The sequence below is a fragment of the Homo sapiens genome, chromosome 20, assembly GCF_000001405.40.
Source record: "Homo sapiens chromosome 20, GRCh38.p14 Primary Assembly".
NCBI lineage: Eukaryota > Metazoa > Chordata > Mammalia > Primates > Hominidae > Homo > Homo sapiens.
In genome coordinates, this window is record NC_000020.11 from 31,532,475 (window position 1) to 31,547,045 (window position 14,571).

Genomic DNA, 14,571 nt, shown 5'->3' on the forward strand with positions numbered 1-14,571 from the left:
AGCATACCATCCTTGGTCCATGCCAGGCCCCCCTACTTTTTTTTTTTTCCCACTTCACTCCAATATCCACCTCCATTTCCCACCTTCATTTCTCTCTCTGCCAGAGGCAGCTGCTTTAATGCATTTGACTTCTGTCCTTAGATGTGTATGTTTCTTATAAAATATGTAGTGTTGGTATATCTGTGTGTATGAGTGGGAATTGCATTTCCATAAATAGAACTGTGCATTGATCTCCCTCTGTTTCCTTTTCCGCTCTCTGTACCTTAAGATCTCTCCGTGGCTCTGTGTACATCCAGCCATTGCTTCTGCCTTTGCTTTTGGCAGATATTTCTGAAGTCTTGAGAGACCTTCTAACATTTTTAGTATTTAGGATTCTTTCCTTAGACCAGATGCTCCCAAAAGGAATTTCTGGCAGCAATGGGTGTGAGCATTTTTATTTAAGGCACTGGCTTCCTGTTGCTCAGTCTTTCCTCCTCTCTGGGCAGGTAAGCCTCAGTCTGCCTCGTGCCAGAAGCACAGAGTATACCCCATGCCTCTAGAGTGTCCCCAGTAAGATTTCTGAAAGGCAGCTGCCTGGACAGCACAGCCACTGGGCTCCTCCTGGCCTCCCCCCTGACATCTGGCTGGTTGGTTTGCTTAACAGAAAAACAGCCCACCACAGCGGCTCTCCCTCAGCCCTTTTCCTCCCCTCCTCCTGGTTGGGGCACTGGAGTTTGTAACTGCATTGAACATTTTTAAAACTTCAGGGCTGAGTGTAGTGGCTCACGCCTGTAATCCCAACGCTTTGGGAGGCCGAGGCGGGCAGATCACCTGAGGTCAGGAGATCAAGACCAGCCTAGCCAACATGGTAAAACCCCGTCTCTACTAAAAATACAAAAAAGTTAACCGAGCGTGGTGGCCCATGCCTGTAGTCCCAGCTACTTGGGAGGCTGAGGCAGGAGAATCGCTTGAACCCAGGAGGCAGAGGTTGTGGTGAGCCGAGAACATGCCACTGCACTCCAGCCTGGGTGACAGAGTGAGACTTCGTCTCAAAAAAAACAACAACAAAAAAACTTCATATTTTCCTGATGCCTCAACATCCCACAAATAGGCCATGAACACTTTGCCCAGGTGAACAGGTGCCAGTGTGATAAGGCTGGTCCCTGCGACAAGTTCCCTTTCTTGCCCTCCTCTACTCTGACCTAGTGACATTCAGACACATCAGTGAGATCCCCTTTTGCTTGTGTCTTTCACCCTGAGCCCCAAAGAAGGCACTTGGCCGTGGGTCTCCTTCTGTAGGACCTGTGAGTATAATAAATCCTTTCATTTCATATGCCTCTCTCTCAAGGACTTTCACACTGAGTTTAGAATGATCCCATCCTCATCACCAATTGTGTTGTAAAAAAGATGTTCCCCTTGTGAGGTTTTTTTGTCCTTGTTTTTACAGGCAGGGTCTTACTCTTTCACCCAGGCTGGAGTGCAGTGGTGCGATTGTAGTTCACAATAACTTTAAACTCCCAGGCTCAGTTAATCTTCCCACCTCAGCCCCCTGGGTAGCTGGGACTACAGGCATGCACCACCACGCCCGCCTAATTTTTTTTTATTTTGTAGAGATGGGGTCTTGCCATGTTGCCTATGCTTCTTGAACTCCTGGCCTCATGCAATCCTCCCGCCTTGGCCTCCTAAAGTGCTGGGATTACAGGCGCAAGCCACTGCACCCAGCCCACTTTATGAAGTCTTTAAGGATCACTCGCACACAGCCACAGAAACTATGCTCAGAGAGGCTTATGAAATTACAGGATTTACTATACTCACATGTTCTAGAGAAGGAGGCATGCATGCCACACAGGGGGCCATATGGGAGGAGCTCCAAGGAAGCCACTCAACCAAGCAGGTAGGGAGAAGGGGGAGAGGACAGAAGGAAGGAAGGAGAGGGGAGGACCCCTGGGCAAGTGCCTTTGTTAGGGCTCAGGGTAGTACAAGCAAAGGGCATGAGGGGATTTACCATGTGTTTGAATGGTATTAGGTCATAGAAGAAGAAGACCAGAGGCTGGGCACCGTGGCTCACGCCTGTAATCCCAGCACTTTGGGAGGCCAAGGCAGCAGATCGTTTGAGCCCAGGAGTTAAAGATCAGCCTGGCCAACATGGTGAAACCCTGTCTCTACAAAAAATACAAAAATTAGCCAGGCGTGGTGGCACACACCTGTAGTCCCAACTACTTGGGGGCTGAGGCAGGAGGATCACTTGAACCCTGGAGGTCGAGGCTGCAGTGAGCCAAAATCAGGCCACTGCACTCCAGCCTAGGCAACAAAGTGAGACCCTGTTTCGAAAGAAAAAAAAGAAGAAATGGGCCGGGTGCAGTGGCTCACGCCTGTAATCCCAGCACTTTGGGAGGCCGAGGCGGGCAGATCACGTGGTCAGGAGATCGAGACCATCCTGGTAACATGGTGATACCCCGTCTCTACTAAACAAAATACAAAAATTAGCCGGGCGTGGTGGCAGGCGCCTGTAGTCCCAGCTACTCAGGAGGCTGAGGCAGGAGAGTGGCGTGAACCCGGGAGGCACAGTTTTCAGTGAGCCAAGATCGTGCCACTGCACTCCAGCCTTGGTGACAGAGCAAGACTCCGTCTCAAAAAAAAAAAAAGAAGAAGAGGAGGGCCAGAAGGAGAACCTGGGCAGAATGTTCATATCCTATTTGTGGGGATGTTGAGGCATCTGTAAAGTAAGTTTTTAAAATAAGTTTTAAATTTGCACAATATAGTAATATTTCACAAAATCATAGTATTTACTTTATCCCACCTTATTTAAAATTGATTCCTTTGAGGCAACTCAAAAAATTAAATCCAACAGCATAAGAAAAACAGAAGAAATAGAGTTAAAGGAGAAAATTAAAATAAGATAAAACAAGGCTTGGGTGAGGACCACACCCATACCCCATGCTCTAAAGCCTGTACTCTTGCTAGAAATGGGCTTAGTTGTGGCTCTGGCTTTTTAGCAGCCAAAACACAAAGGAAAGTGAGACCTGGTGCCCAATCCACATGGGTCACAGTGAAACCAACAAGAAGCTCAGAGGTGTGGCCTGAGAGTGATTTGTCCCAAGGGCTCAGACTGAAAGAATGCAATGTGAGAGGTATGCCACATCTTCATAAATAAAGCACAATCCATATGCCTACAAAGTCTGCTCATAGGTCTTTTTCTTGTAGCACTAACATGGACCACCAATTTGCCCTTCCATTCAGTCATTCTGCATTTATTGAGAGCCTGCTACATCAGGCCCTGGCTGGGTACTGGGGATACTGAAGTGAGAAAAACAGCTGACCATCCCTGTCCTCAAGAAGCATCTTGTTAAGTGGTAGAGACAGACACCAATCACACAGATAGATGTGAAGTTACAGCTGTACAAAGTGCTGTTAAGGCGAGGTCCATAGCACCAGGAAAGCATGGAAGAACCAGCTCAGGGTGAACCTACACCCAAGGTGAACTGCCCAAGCCCCTTATCCACAACAGCACCTGCATTGACCTAGCTCAGCCGAAACTCCAGGAGTCATCCTTCTCCCTGTCCCCCCAAGCCCTTGTATCCAGCCCCTTCACACGTCTTGCAGCTCCAATTCCAGAACGGATCTGGAGGCTGGGTGCGGTGGGTCACGCCTGTAATCCCAGCACTTTTGGGAGGCCGAGGCAGTTGGATCACCTGAGGTCAGGAGTTCAAGACCAGCCTGACCAACATGGTGAAACCCCATCTCTACTAAAAATACAAAATTAGCCGGGCATGGTGGTGCATGCTTGTAATCCCAGCCACTTGGGAGGCTGAGGCAGGAAAATCACTTGAACCCAGGAGGTGGAGGTTGCAGTGAGCCAAGATCGCACCATTGCCCTCCAGCCTGGGCAACAAGAGCGAAACTCCATCTCGGGGAGGGTGGGGGTCAGGGGAGCAGAACAGATCTAGAATCCTTCCACTGCTCATCACTTCCCCTCCATCCCCCCAAGCCAGGGCACCGTCCCCCTCTCCTGCTCCCTGCTTCCACTCTAGCCCTGCAGGGTCTTCTACACAGCAGCAGAGAAGTCCTCTCATGCTGTCTGATCATGTCAAACCCTGCCATCAGCACTCCAGTACCAGCCTGTCTCATGCAGGCAAATCTAAAGACTTTCCCATGGCACTGCAGGGTCTGGCTCCCTTTTCCCGCCCAGCCTACTTTCCTGACACTGTCCCCATGCTCCCTTAGCTCTGGGCTCACAGGCCCTCTGTAGTCCCTGCACACATGAACATTCACCCACCTCAGGACCTTTGCACCTGCTCCCTTCGTTTATGACGCTCCTCCTATGTCCTCTCCTCCAGAACCTTCCCTGACCACCTGTCTAAAATAGCAGCTCTGCCCTTTCATTCTCTATCTCCCTGCCCTGGTTTGCTTTTCTTAGTGCCCATTACCACCTAACAATACATGTAACTGTTTCTTTCGAGATTCTTTCTCCCTCACTGGCCCATGACCTCTAGGAGAGCAGCGACTTTGCCTGATTCCTTGCTGAATCACTGGTGTCTAGGACAATGCCTTGCACGTAGTAGGCAATCAATCAGTATGGGCTGAATTACTGAGGGGTTATTGTCTCATAGAAACTATGTGAGCAAAGCTTCCCTGATCTGGGAGCTAAAGAAGGTTGAGTAAGGGTGGCCTCAGTGAAGAGAGAAGAGAGGAGAACATCTCAGGCAGCAGGAGAGCTTGTACACAGCTGCCTGTGGGTGGGCATGTAGCACACACATCATACTGCAAAAAGGCCAGTGTGGCTGCAGTGTGTAGAGCAAGAGCATGTGTGAGCCAAGGCTCAGGAGACTTGTGGTGGCCACCACGAGGGCAAGAGGCCAACAGGTGGATGTGAGCTTTCGGCTTATGAGAGCAGAGGTTAGCTGCGGAGAGGCTTCCAGTAAGGGAGTGACATGATCTGACAGATGTTCAGCAGATTCCAAAACAGCCCTGCTTGAGAGTGGCCAGGTTCCCTATACCCCACACAACAGCACATTATTCCCTTATTCCCTCCAGGTTAGAGACCACGATAGTAACAAATTCATCAGGGATGCAGCAAACATGGTGTACCATGGCATAGCCTTTCCAAAGTCTAGAATTAACATGTGACCATTGACTGGAGCATTGTGACAGAATATTTCTCAAGTTTCACCTAACGACGAAAAGACCAAGAAGCAGCTGTCAGGGATGCTGTCATAGCTTCAGCCATCACTGCAGGAGGAGTCATCACAAAGCAGAATGTGGAGAATGGAGTGGGACAGATGTCTTGTAACTAGCATGCTTGCGGCCTGGGTGGCCACTCTGTAGGGGATCCCTGGATGATTAAACAGGGAGAAGGAAATGTGGAAGAGCGAGTTCTGAGGTTCCAACAGCTCTCCTGGGGCTCTATACTGAAGACTCCCTTATCCCTTCAGAACCCCTGTGCAGCACTTTGAGCACAAACATAATTGCCTCCCTCCAGATAATGGAGCCACTAAATGTAAACTTACAAACCCCTTTGCGAGGTACAGCTGGGGGCTTGAGGTTTCTCACCTTTCCCCCACAGCTGCAGAAACTAGAATGCCACTAGTATTGTCTGAGACTCTTCCTGACTGTCCCCCGACTCAAGAAGGGTGAGACCAACCTCCAGAAGAGACGCAGGGACTCTGGTTTCCTCACAGCCACTGGCAACCCTAACTTCCTGTTTCTCTTTGTATTTCTGCCTCAGATATTCTCCCAGGAGTACATCAACCTCCTGCTGTCCATGTATTTCTTCGTGCTGGGAATCCTGGCCCTGTCCCACACCATCAGGTCAGAAGGCATCTCTCTGCAACATTTGAAGCAGCTTTCTCGGGAACCAGTACAGGGTCTTGGATGAGAACATGACTTTTGGCATCATTCAGAGCCAGGTTTGAATCCTGGCTATAAAACTCAAGGGACTCTTTCCCCTGCACACTGTAGATGACTAGGACAAGAACAATGACCTCTCTGGGCCACAGTTTCCTTATAGACATGATGAGGATCTGGTGGGTGTTTCCACCACCACAGCTGTTGGGAAAGTGATTTGTGAGCAGTAATGTCATGTTAGTTGTGACAGTACTCAGGTGAGTAACACCAGTACCACCTGCCGGGTGTTGTGGCCTAGCTGTGTGCTAAGTGCCATGTTGGGCTCCTCACACATGATCGTGTTTCGTAAGGAGCCAGAGGCAGCATAGTGAAAAGTTAGGAGCGTGGGCTCTGGCATTTGACTACCTTACTTTGAGTCCAGACTCTGCCACTTAATAGCTCTGTGATCTTGGGCAAGTTACTTAATCTCTCTGGCCTCAATTTCCTGGTGAATGTGGAGAAAAATAATAGTGCCCTTCCCATGGGGTCATGTGGAAAGCTTTTAGCACAGTATCTGGTGATTTAAAGTGTTCAGTAACTATTAGCTGTTACTGTCATTATCTGTGTTAACCTGCCAGACAACCTTATATGGGTTGCTTTTGCTTTCACACCTGTATGATAGTCATGGAAACTGAAGCCCAGAGAGGTTAAGAAATTTGCTAGGATCACACCACTAATAAGCAACAGAGCCAGGATTCAAACCCAGGTGTGGCTCCAGAGCCCATCCTCTTCCCACTGCTACCCTAACTCAAACTGCCACATGCTCGTGTCCTTTCAGTGGGGAGAGTGGTTCATTAGAGGGGGTTGCTACTTTTATTTTGGACAGGCCAGTTCTCCATTCTGCAGGACTATCCCATGTATTACAAACAGTTGGCAACCTTGCCCTGCTCACCAAATGGGAGTTGCATACCAGTATTCCCCAGCTTGTGACTACAGAGATGTCCCAGTATGTTTCTTTCTGCCCCGTTGAAGAGGTGCAGCCTCAGGCTGAGAAACACTGATAGACCAAGAGGTGGCCAGGGTTCCCAGAAGGAAGGAACTCACCTTGAACTTAGCTTTCTTTGAAGGGTAGGAAACCTGGAAGACGTACAAAGGAGGGAGAGGTCAGGTGCTAGAAAGTTTGTGCACATTGAGGGCATGGGCAGAATCTGCTCCCAAAAGCATTGAAAGCCAATATGAGGCCAGGTGGTGGCTCATGCCTGTAATCCCAGCACTTTGGGAGGCCAAGGCAGGCGGATCACAAGGTCAGGAGATTGAGACCATCCTGGCCAACATGGTGAAACCCCGTCTCTACTAAAAATACAAAAAAATTAGCTGGGCATGGTGGTGCATGCCTGTAGTCCCAGCTACTCAGGAGGCTGAGGTAGGAGAATCATTGAACCTGGGAGGCGGAGGTTGCAGTGAGCCGAGATTGCACCACTGCATTCCAGCCTGGCGACAGAGTGAGACTCCATCTCAAAAAAAAAAAAAAAGCCAATATGAATGTGGCTTCATTCTTCTAGGCACACTGGCAGGACAGTGTGGTAGTCAGGAGCACAGGGTCAAGAGGCAGGCAGCCTTGGGACAAACACCTGGTGCTGCCAGCTCTAATATGTGTAAATTACTCAAGCTCTGAGCATAGTTCTTCTACCTATAAAATGGAGAGACTACAGGTACCTCCTCAGAGGTGTGGGGAGGGTCTAGTGAGCCCCAGGCTGTAACATCCCTAGAGCACAGTGCCAAGCACACAGTGAGCCTAGTGGCTGGCCCAGGGTTACACAGCTGAGACTTCACCTCTGGTCTTCCCACTGAGGTCATTGTTGTCCTCACCTGCACTGACTCTTCACCCACAAAATTCTATTCTAGCTAGCTTGGGAGAATTCTAGTCCAGCCCCGCATCCTGAAAAATGGAGGCCCAGGGAACCTGAGTGACTTGGACCCAACCAAGATAATGGCAGGCCCAGTCGCCCTTGCTCACAGGACAAACCAGTCCTTTCGTGGTGGACCTGGGGTGGGGTGGGGGCAGTCACTTGCAGACATTGGGTGTCCTCCTTTCCCATGCTGATTAGGATCCTCCCCAACTGTAGCCCATCCTACCCCAGCATCTGTGAGACGCTTGAGACCCCCAAGTCTCCCCACAGCCCAGCCTCCACCTCAGAGAGCCCAGTGGGTTTTGAAAGCCACTGTTAGGCTGTGTGCTGAGGAACTGATTATTTAATGTTATAGCAACAACCCTACAATGAAGATCTTATCTCTACCCAGCTGCCTAGGCAGGGTATTTTGAACCTTTATCATCTTGACACCAAAGACTTTTTTTCCCTTTTAGAATAATAACTAAGGGACATTGTCCCAAATTTCTCATAGATGAGTAATCTATGTCAAGAAATAATTGAGGGTGGGCACGGTGGCTCACACCTGTAATCGCAGCACTTTGTGAGGCCAAGGCAGGTGGATCACCTGAGGTCAGGAGTTCAAGACCAGCCTGGGCAACATGGTGAAACCTTGTCTACTAAAAATACAAAAAAGTAGCCGGGTGTGATGACGCACCCAGCTACTCGGGAGGCTGAGGCAGGAGAATCACTTGAACCCAGGAGGTGGAGGTCGCAATGAGTCAAGATCGCACCACTGCACTCCAGCCTGGGTGACAGAGGGAGACTCCATCTCAAAAAAAAAAAAAAGAAATAATTGTCTATCTGTCTTTTAGCCACTTCATAATTTTTAGAGATAGATATTATCAACAGAAAATAAAACCAACAGCAGCTAAAACTGCACATGGTAAAATGTATGAGTGACTAGAAACTAACAGAAGAATAATTTTCTTAATGAAATTTAGAGCAACAAAATTTGACCTGGGAAAACCATACCTTTTAAAAATAATGGATCACCTGGGCATGGTGGTTCACACCTGTCATCCCAGCACTTTGGGAACCCTAGGCTGTTGGATCACCTGAGCTCAGGAGTTCAAGACCAGCCTGGGCAACATGTTGAGACCCTGTCTCCACAAAAAATACAAAAATTAGCCGGGTATGGTGGTGCGTGCCTGTGGTCCCAACTGCTCGGTAGGCTGAGGTGGGATGATCGCGTGAACCTGGGAGGCAGAGAGGTTGCAGTGAGCTGTGATCATGCCACTGCACTCCAGCCTGGGTAACAGAGTAAGACCCCATCTGAAAAATATAAAAAAAAAAAAAAAAGAATAATGGATGGCCATAGGCAGAAGGTATGCTTACCATATGGGGTTAAAGCTGGTCCACTAAAAAATTTGATGGGGACCAAAAACTGTCAGATGAAGGAAATCATTATTGTAAAATTAACATGAAAAAGAACTGAATCCAGTGAAAATAATTTTAGTAAGTAGGGGATGATTTGATCATGCTTTTTAGAAAGTTGGTCTACCAATTAAATGGATGTTTCAATTAAATCGAGTTTTCTTAAATATTTTCTCAAGGAAAGTCTACAGTGTTGTTAGAATTTTGATCAGCTGCCTGTATCCACAAACTTAGACCTTCCTCAGGATCCAAACAACAGATCCAAAGGTTTAAGACAGGGAAATTGGGCTCAGAGGGGTTATGTAACCACCAGGATTCACAGCTGGTAAGGGCAAAGTGAGGTTTTGAGCTCAGGTCTGTCTGACTCCAAAACCCCTATTCTTTACAGTTTTGGCAAAAGTGAAGTGGGGGGAGCTTAAAGAGGGTGGGCTGGCCACCTCCTGCCATTGAGCCTGTGGTCTCCCAAGGACTGGCAGAGGAGAGGCCTGCTGAAAGGCTGCAGAGAGCTGCACCCGAGCTGTGACAGCACAGGCTGAGGTTCTCAGGATTCCCTCCACCTCCACCACCACTTCCTAGCCCACATTAAGCCTCTTTGGAACAAACCCCAGCCTGGGGGATTGGAGGAAGGCAGGGGCCGCAGCCTGCCTTACCTTGTGTAGTCACCAAGATTCAAACCCAAGACATCCTTCCTGCAAAGGGAACCTCGGCTTACTTCATCATCTGTGTCTGAGCTCGTGCCCCACCCAGCTGACCTTAGAGGGAAAAAATGCCCAGAAGGACCAGATCTGCCACCCCAGAGGAGGAAGCCACATCACCAGTTTCACTGACCCTGCCTTCCACCCCCAGGGGAGAAGGGCACCAGGATGTGGCTTGTCAGTGGGAAGCAATGACCTTTACGTTTGACATGAGCCATCAAGGGCCAGGAAGAATCTCTGCCTGCTACAAAAGTCTGCATTCAGAGTCATTCAGCAAGCATTTTAGCAGATGTCTAGCAGGCACCAGGTATCTTCACCCCAGGGTAGGGTGAAGATGATGAGACGGGGCCTCTATTCTCAAGTCCACAGGCTCGCGCTAGCCAGGTTGCTTGACTCCTCCCCTGTGTAGTGCTAAGCAGCCTCTCTTTTCTTGGAATAACAAAGATATCAATCTAGAGACTTGCTACTTGAAGTTGAAGCTGCAGTTAAGTTTATAGGGTGCCAAGTGCTCATTTAATCCTCTCAATAGCCCTACAAGAAAGGTGTTGTAGCATTCCAGATGAGGAACAGTTGCACAGAGCAGTTAAGTAAGTTTCCCAAGATCAGACCACTAATAAGTGGCAGAGTTAGGATTTGAGCCCAGGAAGTCTGGCTCCGGAGTCCATGTCTTTAACTGTCACACTCTGCTGGTTGAGAAGCTGAGCACCAAGCTCCTAAGGAAGAGGCCGGCTAAGATGGGCAGAGTTCTTATCCATACCTGCACTCACACCCTGGCTTCAGACTCCCCCAAAACTGATTCAGCAAACTAATCTGAAAGTAGCTTCCTGTCACCCACCCAGCTTCTGCCTCCCACCGCCTCAGAACCCTGCTGTGGGAGCCCATTTCCGATTCTGGCCTTGCACCTGCTGCGCTTCTCTTCACAAAGCCCTCCCATCATTCATACCACAGCCCTACAGGCTAGGAGGGATCGGCTCTTTGACAAGTGGAGAAATAGAGGCCCAGAGATGGTTTTTTGTTTTTGTTTTTAGAGACGGAGTCTCGCTGTGTCGCCCAGGCTGGAGTGCAATGGCACAATCTCAGCTCACTGCAACCTCTGCCCCCCGGGTTCAAGCAATTCTCCTGCCTCAGGCTCCTGAGTAGCTGGGATTACAGGCACCTGCCACCACGCCGGGCTAATTTTTGTATTTTTTTAAGTAGAGATGAGGTTTTGCCATGTTGGCCAGGCTGGTCTCGAACTCCTGACCTCAAGTGATCCGCCACCTCAGCCTCCCAAATGTTGGGATTACAGGCGTGAGCCACTGCACCTGGCCAGAGAGGGTTCTTGAATCTACATCTTGCTCCATGCCACCAGGGTCTTTAAAGAGAGTTCCCTTGGCCGGGCGCGGTGGCTTACGCCTGTAATCCCAGCATTTTGGGAGGCCGAGGTGGGCGAATCACGAGGTCAGGAGATCGAGACCATCCTGGCTAACACAGTGAAACCCCTTCTCTACTAAAAATACAAAAAAAAATTAGTCGGGCATGGTGGCGGGTGCCTATAGTCCCAGCTACTCGGGAGGCTGAGGCAGGAGAATGGCATGAACCCAGGAGGCGGAGCTTGCCGTGAGCCGAGATCGCGCCACTGCATTCCAGCCTGGGCGACAGAGTGAGACTCCATCTCAAAAAAAAAAAGAGTTCCCTTTTCCCTCCCTTTATCACTGTGACCTGGGTACCTCCTGGCCTGCCTCATCCCTGCTAAAGACTCCATGCCAGGCAAAGCATTCATCCTGCCTTCTTTCATATCTTCATAGCAATGCTCTGAGACAGATGGTATTGTTAGCCCTGTATACAGATGAGAAGATTGAGGTCCAGGGAGACAGAGCCACTGAAATGGCTCTCCCACAGCCACATGGCAGAGCAGGCCTCAGTGCTGGGCCACCCAGGCATGTAGCCACTCCACAGTACTGCCACCAGGCTGGGTCAAGAGGCCTTGGTTTGCTAATCTTGCTCTGAAAAAAGTCCAGAAAAGGTCTCTGCTTCCTTCCTGGCTGGGAGGTGGGGCATGCTGGGTAATCAGAGAGAATGCTTCTAGAGACGAGGCCAAGCTGGTCTTAAACAACTGAGGCCTTGTGGAAGGAGTGAATGTGATGGTGATCCTGCCCAGGGGCTATGATTCATCTGGCTGATTGATTCCAGCTGAGTCTGTAAAAATCTCAGTCCTGCTGTTGGAAAGCAGAATGTCAAGTCATGGAGTGGGGTGGGGGTGACTGTCAGGTCATCTAACTTGATAGGTTTGGAAGGGAGTCCACAAATATGCTTCTTGACAAGGGACTCATATAGGTGGCATGTGGGCCAGACTTTGGGATCCTCTGCTCTCCCAAAAATGGTATTTTGCCTTCAGTCTATCTGCTTCTGCTTTGCATTTCTTTGATGTTAACAAAAAGGCAGTAGAGAAATCACTATGAGTGCAAAAACCTAGGTTTGAGTCTTAGCTGAGATATAGGACCCCTGTGTGACTCTGGGCAAATCACTTACCTTTTGAGGGCCTCTGTTTTCACATCTGTAGAGTGGGAACAGTAACACCTACCTATCAGGACAGCTGTAAGGGTGCCAGCTGTAAATGGGGCAGGGGTGTGTTAAGGCTGACTGCCCATGGGGGCTCTGTTTGCCGACTTGCTTTGTCTTTCCTTCCAGCCCCTTCATGAATAAGTTTTTTCCAGCCAGCTTTCCAAATCGACAGTACCAGCTGCTCTTCACACAGGGTTCTGGGGAAAACAAGGAAGGTCAGTGCTAACCACTTTCCCCTGTAGTGTGCCTTGGGTGTCTTCCTCCACCATTCCCTTTGTCTCTCCAATATTGGGGTTCTCCAATAGAGCAACTGATGAAGTGGGCTCTGGAATTCCATGGCCTGGATTCACATTCCAACTCTGCTATTGTCTAGACATGGGACCCTGGGTGAACGCCTTACCTCTCTGAGCATTGGGTGTTTTTGTTTTTGTTTTTTTTCCCATCTGTAAAATGAAAGTGTTAATCTAGTACCTCCTTCACAGTCATGTTGTTAAGATGGCGAGTCAATAAGTGGAAAGCATTCAGCATGGTGCCTGGCTCATAGTAAGCACTCAAAGTCGGCCTTCATGATTATTTTATTCGTATATATTTTTAGTGTGATCACTGCCTCACCTAAGGTTTGAAAAGGGGGTTCCACAGCTCTTTTTTCAAAAATAAAAACTGGCCAGAAACAGTGTCTCATGCCTGTAATCACAGCAATTTGGGAGGCCAAGACAGGATGATCACTTGAGGCCAGGAATTTGAGACCAGCCTAGGCAACATAGTGAGACCTCATCTCTACAAAAAAATTGTAAAAAAATGCAAACTATGGGGAAGTGTGGAGATCCTGGGATTTGTAGGTTAGTTAGGGTATGGATTCAAATGCTGTAACAAGATTATCAATGCTTGACCAAACAGCAGGTATTTCTTTGTTTTTTGTTTTTTGAGACAGAGTCTTGTTCTGTCACCCAGGGTGGAGTGCAGTGGTGCGATCTCAGCTCACTGAAACCTCAGCCAACTGAGTAATTGAGATTACAGGCGTGTGCTACCACACCCAGCTAATTTTTTTGTATTTTTAGTAGAGATGGAGTTTTGCCATGCTAGCCAGGCTGGTCTCAAACTCCTGACCTCAAGTGATCTGCCCACCTCAGCCTCCCAAAGCGCTAGAATTACAGGCGTGAGTGAGCCACCACGCCCAGCAGGTATTTCTCTTGTATACAATACTGAGCATGTGAAATCTAGCACTTTTTTTTTTTTTTTTTTTTTTCGAGACAGGGTCTCGCTCTGTCGCCCAGGCTGGAGTGCAGCGGCACAATCTTGGCTCACTGCAAGCTCCACCCCCTGGGTTCACGCCATTCTCCTGCCTCAGCCTCCCGAGTAGCTGGGACTACAGGCGCCCGCCACTACGCCCGGCTAATTTTTTTGTATTTTTAGTAGAGACGGGGTTTCACCGTGTTAGGATGGTCTCCATCCCCTGACCTCTTGATTCGCCTCCCAAAGTGCTAGGATTACAGGCGTGAGCCACCGCGCCCGGCCGTAGCACTCTCTCTTACTGGTGCCTAGCACATGCTGCCTTGTCCCTAATCGGCAGCAATTTTATGTGATTGCTTTGTGCATCTCTAAGGAACCTCTGTTAAACAATTGTTGATTTTTTTTTTTTAAAGACTGAGCTTGGGCCAGGTGAGATGGCTCACGCCTCCCAGCACTTTGGGAGGCTGAGGCAGGCGGATGACTTGAGATCAGGAGTTCCAGACCAGCCTGGCCATCACGGCGAAACCCCGTCTCTACTAAAAACACAAAAAAAATTAGCCAGGCATGGTGGCGTGTACCTGTAATCCTAGCTACTCGGGAGGCTGAGGCAGGAGAATCGCTTTAACCTGGGAAGGCGGAGGTTGCAGTGAGCCGAAATCGCGCCACTGCACTCCAGCCAGGGCGACAGAGTGAGACCCTGTCTCAAAAAAAAAAAAAAAAGACTAAGCTTGGCCAGGCGCGGTGGCTCATGCCTGTAATCCCAACACTTTGGGAGGCTGATGCAGGAGGGTCACTTGAGCCCTGGAGTTCGAGGCTGCAGTAAGCCACGGTCAGTGCACTCCAGCCTGGGCGACAGAGCAAGACCCCGTCTAAAAAAATAAATAAATAAAACAGTAAAAAGGCTAGGCTTATACCACAGTCTTCAAGGTCCCAGGCCCTCTCTATCTCATGCTCCGCCATATACAGCACTGGCCCTCGGGTCAGGATAGTGTCAT

At 49.2% G+C, this 14,571-nt stretch overlaps 1 protein-coding gene across 4 annotated transcripts in view; it reads left to right on the forward strand.

Moving 5' to 3' along the window:
* The window catches only part of HM13 (histocompatibility minor 13), a 55,102-nt gene that overhangs the window by 18,033 nt on the left and 22,498 nt on the right, over window positions 1–14,571 (forward strand). For 3 of the 4 annotated variants that reach the window (NM_178580.3, NM_178581.3, NM_030789.4), the window contains exons 3-4: window positions 5,705–5,787; window positions 12,473–12,561. In NM_178580.3, coding sequence (NP_848695.1) covers window positions 5,705–5,787; window positions 12,473–12,561 — 172 coding nt within the window. Of the gene's footprint in view, window positions 1–5,704; window positions 9,260–12,472; window positions 12,562–14,571 lie in introns of those variants that run through there. The other variant, NM_178582.3, reaches the window with a different exon arrangement.